We start from the raw sequence: 14317 nt of genomic DNA, 5'->3' as shown, positions 1-14317 counted from the left end.
TGAGATGTTTTGCAGATGCTGCATTTTGATGCACCAGAGGATGCCTCCCATACTAAGTAATTTGGCTCAACCAGTTCTGTGATCCTACTTAGGATGAGAAGACAAGGAAAATCCACTTCGACTCCCTATTATCTCATCTGACCAATCAATCAACACTCCCCACTTCCCGACCCCCTACCCACCAAATCATCCTTAAAACCCCCAATCCCCAAATTTTTGAGGGGACTGACTTGAGTAATAATAAAATTCTGGTCTTTTGTCCAGCCAGCTTTGTGTAAATTAAACTCTTTCTCTATTGCAATTCCACTATCTAGATAAATCGGCTCTGTCTAGGCATCAGGCAAGGAGAACCCGTTGGGCGGTTACAGAACCAAACACTGCCTCCACAGTTGCTGAAAGATTCATCTCAATTCTTCATTGTTGCTCTTTTCTGTTTTCACATTTCCCGTGGGTGTATCTGATAGGTGGAAGTTAAGCTATGTGTCTGCCCTGTAGAGGCAAGGGATTCTGGGGATGTGAATTTCCTGTATTCTACCTTGGGAATGTAGAACTCATAATGTGAGAAGTTATCCAAGACGTAGGATGAATGTTGAAAATATATCAGTCGCAAACGATAAATGTATCCTATATTAACCTATAAACATGGGAAAAGAAGAGGGCACATACATTAAATCCTTCCATTTGGGAAAGAAGATCATGGTAAACAAGGTATGTCATATCCTCACAGATGGGAATTCTGTTTCTTGGTCTGAAAGTGGAGTTAGTTTTTTGGCCAACCAATTTGGTATCCCTAAGTTCTGTGTTCTGGGGGGACTCTCCCTGGCACCTGGTTTTGCCTTTTGGGGAATGAGAAAAAGGTTCTGTCTTGTACTTTTTTTTTCTTTTTCTTTTTCTTTTTGAGACAGAGTCTCACTCTGTCATTCAGGCTGGAGTGCAATGGCACAATCTCAGCTCACTGCAACTTCCGCCTCCCAGATTCAAGTGATTTGCCCTGCCTCAGACTCTCGAGTAGCTGGGACTACAGGCGCCACCACCATGCCCGGCTAATTTTTGTATTTTTAGTAGAGGTGGGGTTTCGCCATGTTGGCCAGGCTGGTCTCGAACTCCCAACCTCAGGCGATCTGCCCGCTTTGGCCTCCCAAACTACTGGGATCACAGGTGTGAGCCATTGCCCCCGGCCTCTTGTACATTATTTTTCATAAGAGAGACATTGGGAAGGAGGCTTTTTCTGAGCCTGCACAGCTTTAGCTTGTCTCATCTGTTGGTGGTAGTTCTGAAACTATATGGCTATAACCCTGGAGGTTAATCAATCATAAGTTTTGTTGGCCAGGTTTGAATAACTTTTGTATCACACCTTCCTAAAACTTTAGTTTTAGGCTTTTGACCTGTTTGTTTCCAGTCAATTCCATGGGCTTGCTACCAGGGCCATAGACCTTGTTTAGGTCTGGTCTTCAAATCTGGGAATTCCTATTTCTAACAACAAGCCTCTGTACTCTGGACATCCTCCCAAATCATGGTTTTCAACCATGAATATTAGAGTAACTTGGGAAGATTCTGGAAACATGGAGGCATCATTTTTCAGTCTCTTCAAATCTCTGTATTAAAACAGAGCACACAGGTAGTAAAGCCAAAATCCCATTCACAACATTTACAACCAAACTAGGTGACGAGATGTCTTCAAGAACCCACAAATACACCAGGTAGAGGCCTACCGGCAGCTACAAGATGTTCAGGTAGTAGCATTTCTGCAGTAGAAAGCAAAGAAAATCAACAGAGGAAGCATGGAGGGGCCGGAGAGACAACAGAACTCCAAAATAATGAACAGAGCTTTGAGCTGACTTGAGAATAGTTGCTGAACCTGGGAAGGCTCTTGCTCTTTCCAATAGCAATTGCATGCAAGAGGCTTGTGGTAAGCAAGTCTGAAGGGGCTGGAGCAATGCAGCCCCTGTGAACTCTCAAAACCAACTCATTAGCCCTCCTTTCTAAGGGAAGTGTCCAACACTGAGAATAATCTGCTGAGAGTAGAAGAAAAATTGAGGAGCCAGATTTACACACACACATGCACACACACACACACACGCGCGCGCGCGCGGAGAGAGATTGAGAGAGAGCGAGAGAGACAGAGAGATTCAAGTACCTGTATCTAGGGCTGACCTCAGATTAATTAATTAAATCAGATTATTTGGGGTCAAGTGGGCATCAGTAGGTTTCCAAAGCTTTTCAAGTGATTTTCATACGGATCCAGATCCAGAGTTAAGAACTACTGTCCTAGCCTTTGGTTGACCTTTTTTGTGATAGCTTCTCTGAGGAAATTCAGTAGGAAACTCAATTGCCTAGATTGTCCAGGCAACTTGCCCAGGATGTATCCTAGATGCATCTTCATAAAAGATGAAAACAAGCAGATGATATTTCATAAATACTTTAAAATATGTGGCCGGGTTCTCCAAGCCAGAGTTCCCTTACATGTAAATGAGGAGAAAGGTAGCTCTTTCCATGTATTATCTCATTTAATCCTAACAAGAATCTCCACAGGATAATAATAAATGAGATAATATGTGTAAAGTGATTGGAACAGTACCTGGTACATAGTAAGCCCTTGTTTTTATTGACATGCAGGGTAATTGCTAAGTGCAGTTCCTAACAAATGGAAAGATTGTTGGCAGCTTTTATACACTTGGAAAAGCTTGGCTATAGCTAAAAAACTAAGAATATAACCAAGTTCAAAGTTTAGTCCTACTTTTTAGGCAAATCCAAACCCCTTATCTTATTGTCCATCTGGTCCCTTTCCCTGTACTCCTTGGAGCTACTGTGGTTCATTTTCAAGGGAAAATATCAAGGTCAGATGCAAGGAACTGAAGAGAGTTCAAGTATTTTTGTTGGAACTGTTAGCATTCTTTTCCCCTGGTGTGAGTGCCCGGGGGTTAAGTGACTATTGCGGTTTTGCAGAGCAATGTGGGGCTATCTAGGGGGCAACAGGAAACACTGGCCCCTTTCCTAACTTTGATTTTGGCATCCAAATCAGAGCTCCCATTTCTGGCCCTCACAACAATACCTGTCCCACGTTCTGCTGAAAGACAGTGTAAGAATGAATGGAATGTCTGCAAAGTGGGAATGACACTGCCACTGTCATCGAGGGCTTTTACTAAGAGCCTCCCTCCTCTGTTCCAGCCCCAAGGCTATATATATGATAGCCACAGAAGCTGGGTAATTAAGAAAGATCGACCCTGCTCTTGAAGCTATGCTTTGAAGCGTGGTCGAGAAACATCAGTGCTGGTAAACCACAGCTGTTTGTAGCTCCCTTTCTAAGGCTGTTAAGGTTGCACCGGGCTCTCATTTCCGTTCGTTTTTGACTTCTTGACCTTTATGCCCAGTCAGGTATCTCCTCTCCCTCTTGTGTCTTAGCATAGTCAATCTCTCTCCAATGGCTTCACTGCCTTCTACAAATGTGCTCAGGTCTCCCCTACCCTAAACAAAACCTCTCCGAGCTGGGCTGTCACCCTCAACACCTGGTCCATCCTGCCCTTCGTTCGCTGCCACCATCCTCACGTGCTGCCGTAGCGTTTGCCTCACACGTGCTTTGCGCTGCTCTTCTCCATGTTTCTTACCTGCGCCTTGAATTAATACTCGTTTAAGGGCGACCTCCAATTACCACACCCACTGGCCGCTTTTTCATCCGGTCCCCTCAAGTGGGATTTTGACAACCTTCCTCCCCTGGCTTCTGCGCCTGTGTGCCCTGCCCTGTTTTCCTTTGCTTGGCACCAACTATTCTCCTCTTGTTAGGACTATGTGTGTGTAAATGACATTTTTCAAGATTCTCTTTTTGATATTTCACACTCTCTTGCTATGCTCATTCACCCCTTGGTGGTGTCATCCTCTTTCATGACTTGAGAACTGGGCCAAATCAGTTAATTTTTTATTTTTATCTATCTATCTATCTATCTATCTATCTATCTATCTATCTATCCATTTATTTCATCAGTTGCTATTGCTTCAGGATCGGCCAAATCAGTTAAGAGTGATCTCTAATTCCCAAATCTACTTAGAACTCATCTCCTGAGGTGTAGGCCCCTGTTTTCAACTGTGCACTCAGATATGGCATTTGGGGTGTCAAAATTAATATTTCCCAAAGCCGCCCATCCCTTGGAGATCAGTTCTGCTGCTGGCTCCAAGCTAAACCTGGGATCCCATTCTCTTTCACCTTCTACTTTTAATTTGTTGCCAGGAACAATGGAGAATTTCATTATGATTTCTCCTCCCCTTTCTATTAGCACTACCTTTGTCAGTGCCACCTCACACCTGGCTTGGACAATTCCAATAGTGGGTTTTTAATGGGTTTTGTCGCCTTCAGTATCCCTGTCCACCTGTCCTACACACCATCTCTTGATTGATCTTAAAGTCTTACATGGGTCTTGTTACATAAGTCTCATTACCAACTAAGTCAAATTTAGTCACCTTAGTGGGATATTCAAGGCCTTTACAATCTGTCCCTATCCTATCTCAGGTTAGCTTTTCAGACTAGTCAAACCATTCCCTTCTTATTCAACAACTCATTCCCTCACAGTACTTCATTCATTGGACAATGAATTAGTGAATACCTCTTAAGGACCAAGCACTGTTTTTATTTTATTTTATTTCTTTTTTTTTTAATTTTAGTTTCAGGAGTACATTGCAGGTTTGTTACATGGATATATTTCAAGATGCTGGAGTTTGGGCTTCTATCGAACCCATCACCTGAATAGTGAACATGGTACCCCACAGGTCATATTTCAACCTTTCCTCTCCTCTCTCCTTTCTCTCTTTTGGAGGCCCCAGCGTCTATTGTTTTCACCTTTATGTCCATGTGTCTCCATTGTTTTGCTCCCACTTATAAGTGAGAACCCACAGTATTTGATTTTTCTGTTTCTGCATTAATTGACTTAGGAGGATGGCTTCCAGCTCCAGTTGCTACAGAAAACATGATTCCATTCTTACTTCTGGCTGCATAGTACTCCATGGTGTATATGTACCACATTTTATTTATCCAATCCACTGTTGATGAGCACCTAGGTTGATCCCATAATTTTGCTATTGTGAATAGTGCTGCAATACACATATGAGAGCAGGTAACTTTTTGGTAGAGCAATTTATTTTCCTTTGGGTACTTACCTATAAATGGGATCACTAGGTTGAATGGTAATTCTATTTTTCTTCTGAGAAGCCAAGCACTGTGTTAGATGCCGATGATATGCAATGATGAACAAGACCCACAAAATCTCTGTAGTCATGGATTTTACATCCCAGTGGGCTTCAGGAGTGGACTTTGTGTTTGGTAACATCAGTAACCTAAAGAGAATTGCATGAATTTTACTTCTTACTACCGTTCCCATTTTCAAATTCCACTGCATTCATCAACTTTTGCTGCAATCGCAAACAGGCCTAAAATCTCAGTGTTCTAAAACAGCACGTATTTCTTTCTCACTCACCGGACTCGCGGATATGTAGGTAGGCTGGGGCTGATATGCTTCAGTCTGAGAATTAAGCAACATTCACACATTATTCTCATAGTGAAGGGTAGAAACTCCCAGGGACATGAATGGAAGCATACAATGTGTCTTCAGGTTTAGGCTCAGAACTAGCTCTTCTGCTCTGATTCCTCTGATCAAAGAAAGTCTCATGGTCCAGGCCAACATTACTGGGTGGAACAACATACACCCCTATGGCGGGGGAAGGAGAAATATAGTCTGCCACACCTACAACCTTCAAGGACAAGCTCAAATCCTTTCTTTCTAATGTATTTTTTTAGAAGTTGTAGGGATTGCAGTATATATTCTTCACATATTGTGGTTTACTTATAGTTAATATGTATCTGATGATATAAAATGTAAGAATCTTGCAACTGTATAGTGTATTTTCCAGCCCTATGTGTTATGCTGCAGTTATTATATGTAATACATTATGTATATTATTCACTCCAAAATATAATATTTTAATTTTTGCTTTTTAAAATTATTTATTTATTTATTTATTTATTTATTTTTAAAAGAGATGGGGTCTCCCTGTGTTGCCCAGGCTGGTCTCAAACTCCTGGACTCAAGAGATCCTCCTGCCTCAGCCTCCCAAAGTGCTCAGATTACTAGTGTAAACCGCCACGCCTGGCCAGAATAACTTTTTTTTTTCTTTTTAAGACAGGGTTTTGCTCTGTCACCCAGGCTGAAGTGCAGTGGCATGATCATAGCTCACTGCACTCTCAGCCTCCTGGGCTCAAGCCATTCTTCTACCTTGGCCTCCCAGGTAGCTGGGAACACAGGTATATGCCACCATGCCCAGCTAGGTTTTTAAAATTTTTTTAAATATTTATTTATTTATTTTTGAGACAGATTCTCACTCTGTCACCCAGGCTGGAGTGCAGTGGTGCAATCAGGGCTCACTGCAACCTCCACCTCCCAGGTTCAAATGACTCTTCTGCCTCAGCATCCTGAGTAGCTGGTATTACAGCTGTGTGCCACTGTGCCCGGCTAATTTTTTTGTACTTTTACTAGAGACGGAGTTTTACCATGTTGGCCAGGCTGGTCTCAAACTTCTGGCCTCAAGTGATCTGCCTGCCTCGGCCTCCCAAAGTACCAGGAATATAGCCATGAGCCACCGCACCCTGCCGGTTTTTTAATTTTGATTTTTTATTTTGTAGAGACTGGGTCTCCCTACGTGGCCCAGGCTGATCTTGAACTCCTGGGCTCAAGCAATCCTGCTGGCTCAGCCTCCCAAAGTGTTGTGATTACAGGCGCAAGCCACTGCCTAATTTTTGCTTTGAATAATCATATGCATTTTATAAAATTAAGAGAAGAAAATAATCTTATGTGTATACGCCATATTTACCATTTCCTGTGCTCTTCTTTGTTTTCTGAAGATCCAGATTTCCATCTGTTATAATTTGCCTTTATCCTGAAGAACTTTCTCTATTTAGCATTTATTGTAGTCTAGGTCTGCTGAAAACAAATCTTCTTTCTCTTTTTTTTGTCTGAAAGTGTCCTTATTTTGCTTTCATTCTGGAAGGATAGTTGAGCTAGATATAGAAATTGATGGTGATAGTTTTTTTTTTCTTTTTCAGTCTTTAAAGATGTTGTTTCAGCCATCCTGGAATCCTTTTTTTCTGCCTATTCTCTACTTTCCTTCACTCTGTAACCAATTGCCTATGCTGGGAATCTCCTTCCTTGAAGCCTCTTCTTTTCAGCTCTCTGCCTACTTTGTTTAGAGACTCATTCTCTGGTTTTATCCAGGAGAAATTGTAATATGGGAATATACTGAAAGGGGAAGGGGCACAGCTGACCCTGTGGTTCTGTAGGCAGAAGAGACAACAATGTCTTCATTTCAGATGACATGCCTGTATATCCAGACCATCAAAGTAAGCCTACTATTAGAATTAAATAAGAAAATTTTATTAAATAGGCAGATAAAAGTGAATTTACAAAATTAATATCTTTGAGCTAGTAGTAAAAAGTTGGAAGCTAAAAAGTTTTATATTTCATTCATACATTAAAAATTATAACATATTGGCCAGGTGCGGTGGCTCATGCCTGTAATCCCAGCACTTTGGGAGGCCGAGGCAGGCAGATCATGAGGTCAGGAGATCGAGACCATCCTGGCTAACACGGTGAAACCTCGTCTCTACGAAAAATGCAAAAAATTAGCCAGGTGTGGTGGCGGGTGCCTGTAGTCCAAGCTACTCGGGAGGCTGAGGCAGGAGAATGGCGTGAACCCGGCAGGCGGAGCTTGCAGTGAGCAGAGATCACGCCATTGCACTTCAGCTTGGGCGACAGAGTGAGACTCTGTCTCAAAAAAACAAAAAAATTATAACGTATTTAGAAATAAATATGTTATTTAGCTTGTCTTTTGTTTATATATTTTTCTATAACTGTCAATTATTATTAACATAAAGCATGAATAAATGGAGAGATAGCTCATGTTCTTATATGGGAAGATTTAATTTTAAAAAATTGTCATTCCCAGTTATTTTAATTTGATTCCAGTAGATTCCCCATTTTTCAGAACTACATACAATCATTACATAGTTCATGTGAAAGAATAAATGTTGAAAAATCAGTGGATGAGAACAGAAGTTGAAATTGAATTAATGAATATATGGGAATTTAATATAAACAAAGGTGGCATTTCAAGCCAGGCCAGAAAGGATGACTTATTTAATAAACAATGCTAACTAAGGACTATCCATTTAGAAAGAAACAAATGTAGAATTTAATTTGTATTATATGAAAAACAAAATGCCAAATAGGTTAAGGTGCAAGGTACAACATTAAATAATAAAAATACTAGAAGAAAATTCAAGATAGTATTTGCATTATTTGGAGGGTAACTTCTTAGTAAGACAGAAAAAACAGGAGCAATAAATGAAGGAATATGATAGAAAAAATATATAATATGACTTTATATATGTGTATGTGTGCATATATATGTGTGTGTGTATATATATTCGTATTTGACTGCATACAATTTAAAAACAATTGTATAGCAAAAGGCACATGAAATAGAATCCTACTTTGGAATCTTCACAGAGAAAAATAAATAAATATATATATATAAACAACAGACACACTAAATAGAGTTCAAAGACAAATAATATACCAGGAAAGATATTTATAGCACATATAGTGGATACATATGGTAAACCATTCTATTATACAAATCTTATTAACAATTTTTCTAAAAAAGACAGCCCAATGGAAAAATGGACAAAAGGATAAGTGGCCAAGATGGCCATATATTCTCATGCCATTTCTGAAAAGCATCTGTCCAACTAGGAGCCAGATTTCTGAGCCCCTGCCCTCCCTATCTAATGATGTCATGTGACTAGTTCTTGCCAAGGTAAGTGATTGTGTCATTGCCGGGGTCAATGAGGTTAAGGAAAGGGTGTTGCTTTTCTATCCCCTTTTCCCAAAGCTCCAGGGAATGGTGAAACCACAGGATGAAAGGAGCCCACACCCCTGAATCATCTCCTGGAAACCTGCGCACAAAACACCCTCACTGGACTGTTACATGAATAAGAAATAAAAAGTTTGAATTTTCTTTACTTTTGAATTACATTACTCTAGCAAGTATAGTATGTGAACACAAAATTCATAGAAGTGAATTACCCAGTAGTCAAGGAACATATGATTAGGGATTTAACCTCCATAGCGGTCAAGAAAATGCAAATGAACAGAGATATATCATTTTGAAGAATCCATCAAATTTGCAAAAATTAAAATCCCAGTAATATCTAGGACAGTTAAGATGCAGAGAAATGGACATTGCTGGTGGAAATGCACAATGCTATTACACAATCTTTGGGGGAAGTAATCTGACAATGTTTATTACAATTGAAAATACGTATTTATTATACAACATCTCATGTCATGTATATTTATTTTTGTGTTTCTTGCCAGAAATGTGTAACCTTAATCTAATCAAGCCCCTAGATCTAAATTTCAGTTTCAGAAATAGCTGAAGTAAAGAGAAAAATTAAATGATTTAATGGAAAGAAATGATCAGAGCAATCCAGAATGTGGGACATTCTACAAAATAACTTGGCTGGTCACCTTAAATGCCAATGTCTTAAGAAAAAAAATGAGAGGACTCTTCTTCACTAAAAGAGACCAAGGGGTGTAAAACCCAAATGTAATAACATTAACCTAGATTGAAACCTGGTTAGCAAAAAGAGAAAACTGTAAAGGAGATTCTTAGGACAATTGGAGAAAATTTGAATATGAACTGAATTATTAGATGATATTATGAAATGATTTTACATTACCTTAGATATGGCAGTGGTTTTATAGCTGTGTAGAAGATAATCTCTATTCCTAGAGAGGCATGCTGAAATATTTAGAAGTGACTTGTCATAATATTCAGGTGTGAATTATCAAGTAGTATAGCAAACATATGAATTATGCATACTTATAGAGATAAATCACACACATATATTTGATCTAGCAGTCCCATCTTTGTGAGCCTCTTCTACAAAGTAACTGTGCTAATACATAAGAATGAATGTGCAGGAGTGCCTGTTGCCTAATTGTTTATTATGACAAGAAGTTAAAAACAACTGGAGTGCCCATCAATAGCAGAAGGTGAATAAATTAGGACACATTCATGCCATGGAATATTATACAGCAATTAAAAAAGAATGAGTATGACTTGTCTGCACTGACGTGAAGAGATATGCATGATCTATTAAGTCACAAAAATGTTATAAAATAATAGTGTATTATAAATCCATTTTATATAAGGTGATATTTATATAAAAACAAACCATACCCTCCCAAACTACCTACCTATAGATTGATCAATCGTCTATCTATAGATTGATCAGTCATCTATCTACCTATCATCTGTGTGTGTGTGAAATATAAATATCAGGTGTGAACACTGGTGGCCTTAAAGAAGTAGGGGGAGATTTTTTTTAATCTGTATTATTTTACTCACTACAATTAGTGTGAGTGACAATTTAATTTCTTAAACACCTTAGGAGATAAATTTTGATCTGCCTATGACACCTTTTCCTGCTTTCCATCACTGTTATGGATTTATTCTTCGAAAATGTCATTTCTTATCATTGCAATGGGATTTGGGGAGAGAGGGCAAGTTAATGCATGCTCAGTTCATCATCTCAAACCTGGGTCCCTCCCACTGCTCTCTCGAGCTTCTCTGTAGTCATGTAGTTTCTTCTTCCTGAGGCACTCTTACCTGCACATAGAGTTTCTAGCTAGAAATTGTGGATCTGGGAACTCCTTCATGGAACTGTTCAAAGTTTAAGCATTGAGGCATCATACGAACTCCTGGACTTGGTTTGTTCGGGAGAGGAAGAGGAATGAACTGTGACCAATCCCTATCTTCAAAATTCCTCCATTCTCTTAAAAGAGATGCATTTGGTGGAACAACATTTCCAGCTGGTCTGATAATATACAAGCTCTCTGTTGGAGATCCACAAGAGATCTTTGCTCTTTCTGTTAGCAGCACTGACCAGAAGCCTTCTGAAGCCATTAACCTACTTTCTAATTGGCACCTGCTGCCTTGGTGTAAGTTATAGGGACGTATTTATAGCAAGCAGTGGGGTGAAAGAGGATAAGCCAACTTAAATCACCAATCATAGAACTGGCACAACACAGGTGGCCGGCATGCCTGGGTTAGGTAAGTAGGTCAACTGTTTCGTTTAGGTGCATACAGGTAGTTTGTTGAGGGCAAATTTTGAAAGAACACAATCCCTAGGTTTGGTAATGTGTGTGTCAGAGGAGAAAAAGGAAATGTCTCAGAGCATAGCTGGGGGCGGAGATTTCTCCTATGGAAACGACAGAGAGTGTATTGTTCCCAATGCTGGATCAGGAAGGAGCCTCTGGGAATCATTGTGTGCAGCGCTCTATCTGGACACAGACAGAGGTGAGGAGCTTCCTTTTTCAATAACTGAAGGACAGAGATGCCACTCCTTCTACAGAAGTGGTTTATGTCATAAAAAGTACATTTTCTCTTCATAAATGATCAAAAATGCCCATTCGGTAAAAGTGGGACGTGGAAAGACTATGATTCTGGTCCCTTTTTTATTTTTTTCATGTTCTCACTCTGTTGCCCAGGCTGGAGGGCAGTGGCATGATCATGGTTCCCTCGAACTCCTGGGCTCAAGCAATCCTCCCATCTCAGTCTCCCAAGGAGCTGGGACTACAGGTGTGTGTGACATCATGATTGGCTTAATGTTTAAATTTTTTTGTAGAGACGGGATATCACAATGTTGCCCAAGCTGGTCTTGAACTCCTGGCCTTCAGGAATTCTCCTACTTTGGGCTCCCAAAGTGTTTGGATCACAGATGTGAGCCACTGCGCCCAGCCTTCGTCCATTTTGTCATCAAGACACTCATCCTGGCTGCTTGTCCTCATTGTGTCCCCAGAAGAAACAAAGTGAAGGATAACAGTAAAAGCACCAAAGAAACCCACCTAGGGCAGCCCCAAGAGCAAAGGTGGAGAGCACCAGTGAGAAGGCATGACTGTTCCCTCTTCCAGGCTGTTCCAGCAATGCTTAGCCCTGCCTGACTCCGCAAATTACCTGCCCCCAGAAGCCAAGAAACTGCCCTCTGCTTGAACAGCAAGTTCCCGATCCCCCACTCTGCATGACCATGCCCCCCTTGAATCTTGGATTCCCTATTATCCTTCCCACTTGTTACCAGAACAAATTTGGACCAGGGACATCTAACTCAAAGCTCTCATTCACTCTTTCTCCTGCACCTGGAGTCTGGGTCAGGTTTAGACATTTGATGCTGTATTTTGTTCTTCTGGTTTCACATGTTGGTATGATGCTTGCCTACTGTTTGCACATCCTTGGACTTATCTTTCACTCACATAATTTTCCCTGTGAATGTGTACCCTAGGGCATATAAACTTCCCTTACGCAGCTTTTCAGCAACACAGATCAGCCGTCACCATGTCTTGCATTGAAATGGCTCTTAGAGTTTATAAAGCACTTATACATATATTGGCTTGATTTATCTTCCTAGCTGACTTCTAAGGTCAGTGATAGTACCCGGCTTTTTAAAATAAGGAAATTGAGGCACAAGAAGGTTAGGCAATGTCTTAAGTCTACTCACCCAGTCAGTGCTGGGTTGGGGCCAGGATCCAGGTTTTCTGGCTCTTCATCTTCTGCCCTCTGGTCTCTCAGCTCCATTTGGAGCTGAAGATCTCCAAACTCCACTTCTTAGTCCCCTCACCAACTGACTTCCTTTTAGGTTCTGTCAATAGGAAGCATTCAGGGGAGATTGGCTAGGTAGGAAGTGGACAAAAAAGGCTTTTTTCTCCCCACAGTGTCCAGTTCCAATCAGTGTTGCTCTCATAGCAGCAGGGAGAAGGTTCTAGCTGCCCACTGTGTGACTGCTCCCAGCACCTGCCATGCTGTGCCTGTTCAGTGATGTCCACAGGAGCTGGACCATATCCCCTTTGCAGTTGTACAGCCAGGTGGGCTATGCTTTTTTTCTCACCCTGAGCCAGTGCTTCTGGACCATTCGAGCGTCTGTGGGGCACAATCCCTGCCCCATGAGTGACTGGAATATCCACTGGGTTGTGCTGCCAGCTCAGACATCCAGGGTATGGCCAGACTTCCTTTTTAGAGGTACAGGTACCAGCTAGACTGAAGACCCTCCTTTAAATATGAGGGTCCACCACTATCAACACCCTACTTAGCGTCTAGGCACTAGCAGTACAAAATGTCCCCCTGAAGGTCTGATCTCCAGAACATGGCACCCTATTCTCAGAGGCTGCAGTACTAGCTGTGTAGAGATTTCCCTCAGCGGTTTAAGTGGAATCCCTACAACACCAAGGTCCTGATAGCAATATTCCTTCCCTTTTGTTCTCTCAGCCTGGGATGGTAGTTTCTTCCTGGTGTGAATAATTTCAGGGTTATCTTAGCATCTGCTTTTTGTTCTTTCAGTCTTCCAGTGCCTGTGATGAATCCGTAATTACCTGTGGTTGCTTGCAGCAGAGTGGCCCGGAAGGCAAAGCCTTAAGAATGCAGCTGGCTGCTTCTGATGGCGCTGGAGAATTTACAGAGGTGGGAAAGTGACAAACTCAGGTCTTTAAGCCCTCAGCTCTGTTTCTTGGTAGAATAGCCTACAATCTCTAGAATATATATTATAAACCTACTTATGATTACTTAGATAACCCAACAATTCCACCTTGAGATATATACCAAAGAAACATGGAAAAATATCGCCCTACAAAAACTTGTACAGGCATACTTTGGAGATATTGCAGGTTCCAGACCACCACAATAAAGTGACTATCACAATAAAGCGAGTCAATACAATTTTTTTCCTTTCCTGTGCATATGAAAGTTTTAAGTTTCTTAAAGATTCTGGATATTAGACCTTTGTCGGATGCATAGTTTGCAAATATTTCTCCCATTCTGTAGGTTGTCTGTTTACTCTGTTGATAGTTTCTTTTGCCGTGCAGAAGCTCTTTACTTTAATTAGGTCCCATTTGTCAATTTTTGGTTTTGTTGCAATTGCTTTTGGCATCTTCATCATGGAATCTTTGCCAGGAACTTAAATAAATTAACAGACAGAAAACAAACAACCCCATTAAAAAGCTGACAAAAGACATGAACAGACATTTTTCAAAAGAAGACATACATGTGGCCAGCAAACACATGAAAAAATGCACAACGTCATTAATCATTAGAGAAATGCAAATCAAAACCCACATGAGATACAATCTCACACCAGTCAGAATGGTTAGTATTAAAAAGTCAAAAAATAACAGATGCTGGTGAGGTTGCAGAGAAAAGGGAACACTTATAAACTGCTGGCAGGAAT

The 14317-nt window shown here is 40.8% G+C and overlaps 1 long non-coding RNA gene across 1 annotated transcript, besides 1 other annotated feature; it reads right to left on the bottom strand.

Annotated features, from left to right (window-relative positions):
- Window positions 3184–3363: a silencer, noted in NCBI's record as "silent region_2265". NCBI's record gives its function as "represses an Ori minimal core promoter by ATAC-STARR-seq in GM12878 lymphoblastoid cells {active_cell/tissue: GM12878}" and the evidence as "EXISTENCE:reporter gene assay evidence [ECO:0000049][PMID:35858748]".
- On the bottom strand, window positions 4569–14046 carry LOC105376477 (uncharacterized). Its single transcript, XR_930791.2, has 3 exons — window positions 12599–14046; window positions 6853–7384; window positions 4569–5322 (listed from the first exon to the last, which is right to left on the bottom strand). It is a non-coding gene; the product is annotated as an uncharacterized LOC105376477 (long non-coding RNA).
- Between the last annotated feature and the right edge of the window lie 271 nt (window positions 14047–14317).

Source organism: Homo sapiens, chromosome 10, assembly GCF_000001405.40.
Source record: "Homo sapiens chromosome 10, GRCh38.p14 Primary Assembly".
Classification (NCBI taxonomy): Eukaryota; Metazoa; Chordata; class Mammalia; order Primates; family Hominidae; genus Homo; species Homo sapiens.
Note: the sequence above shows the minus strand (reverse complement) of the source record. Positions and strands in the feature narration are given on the sequence as shown.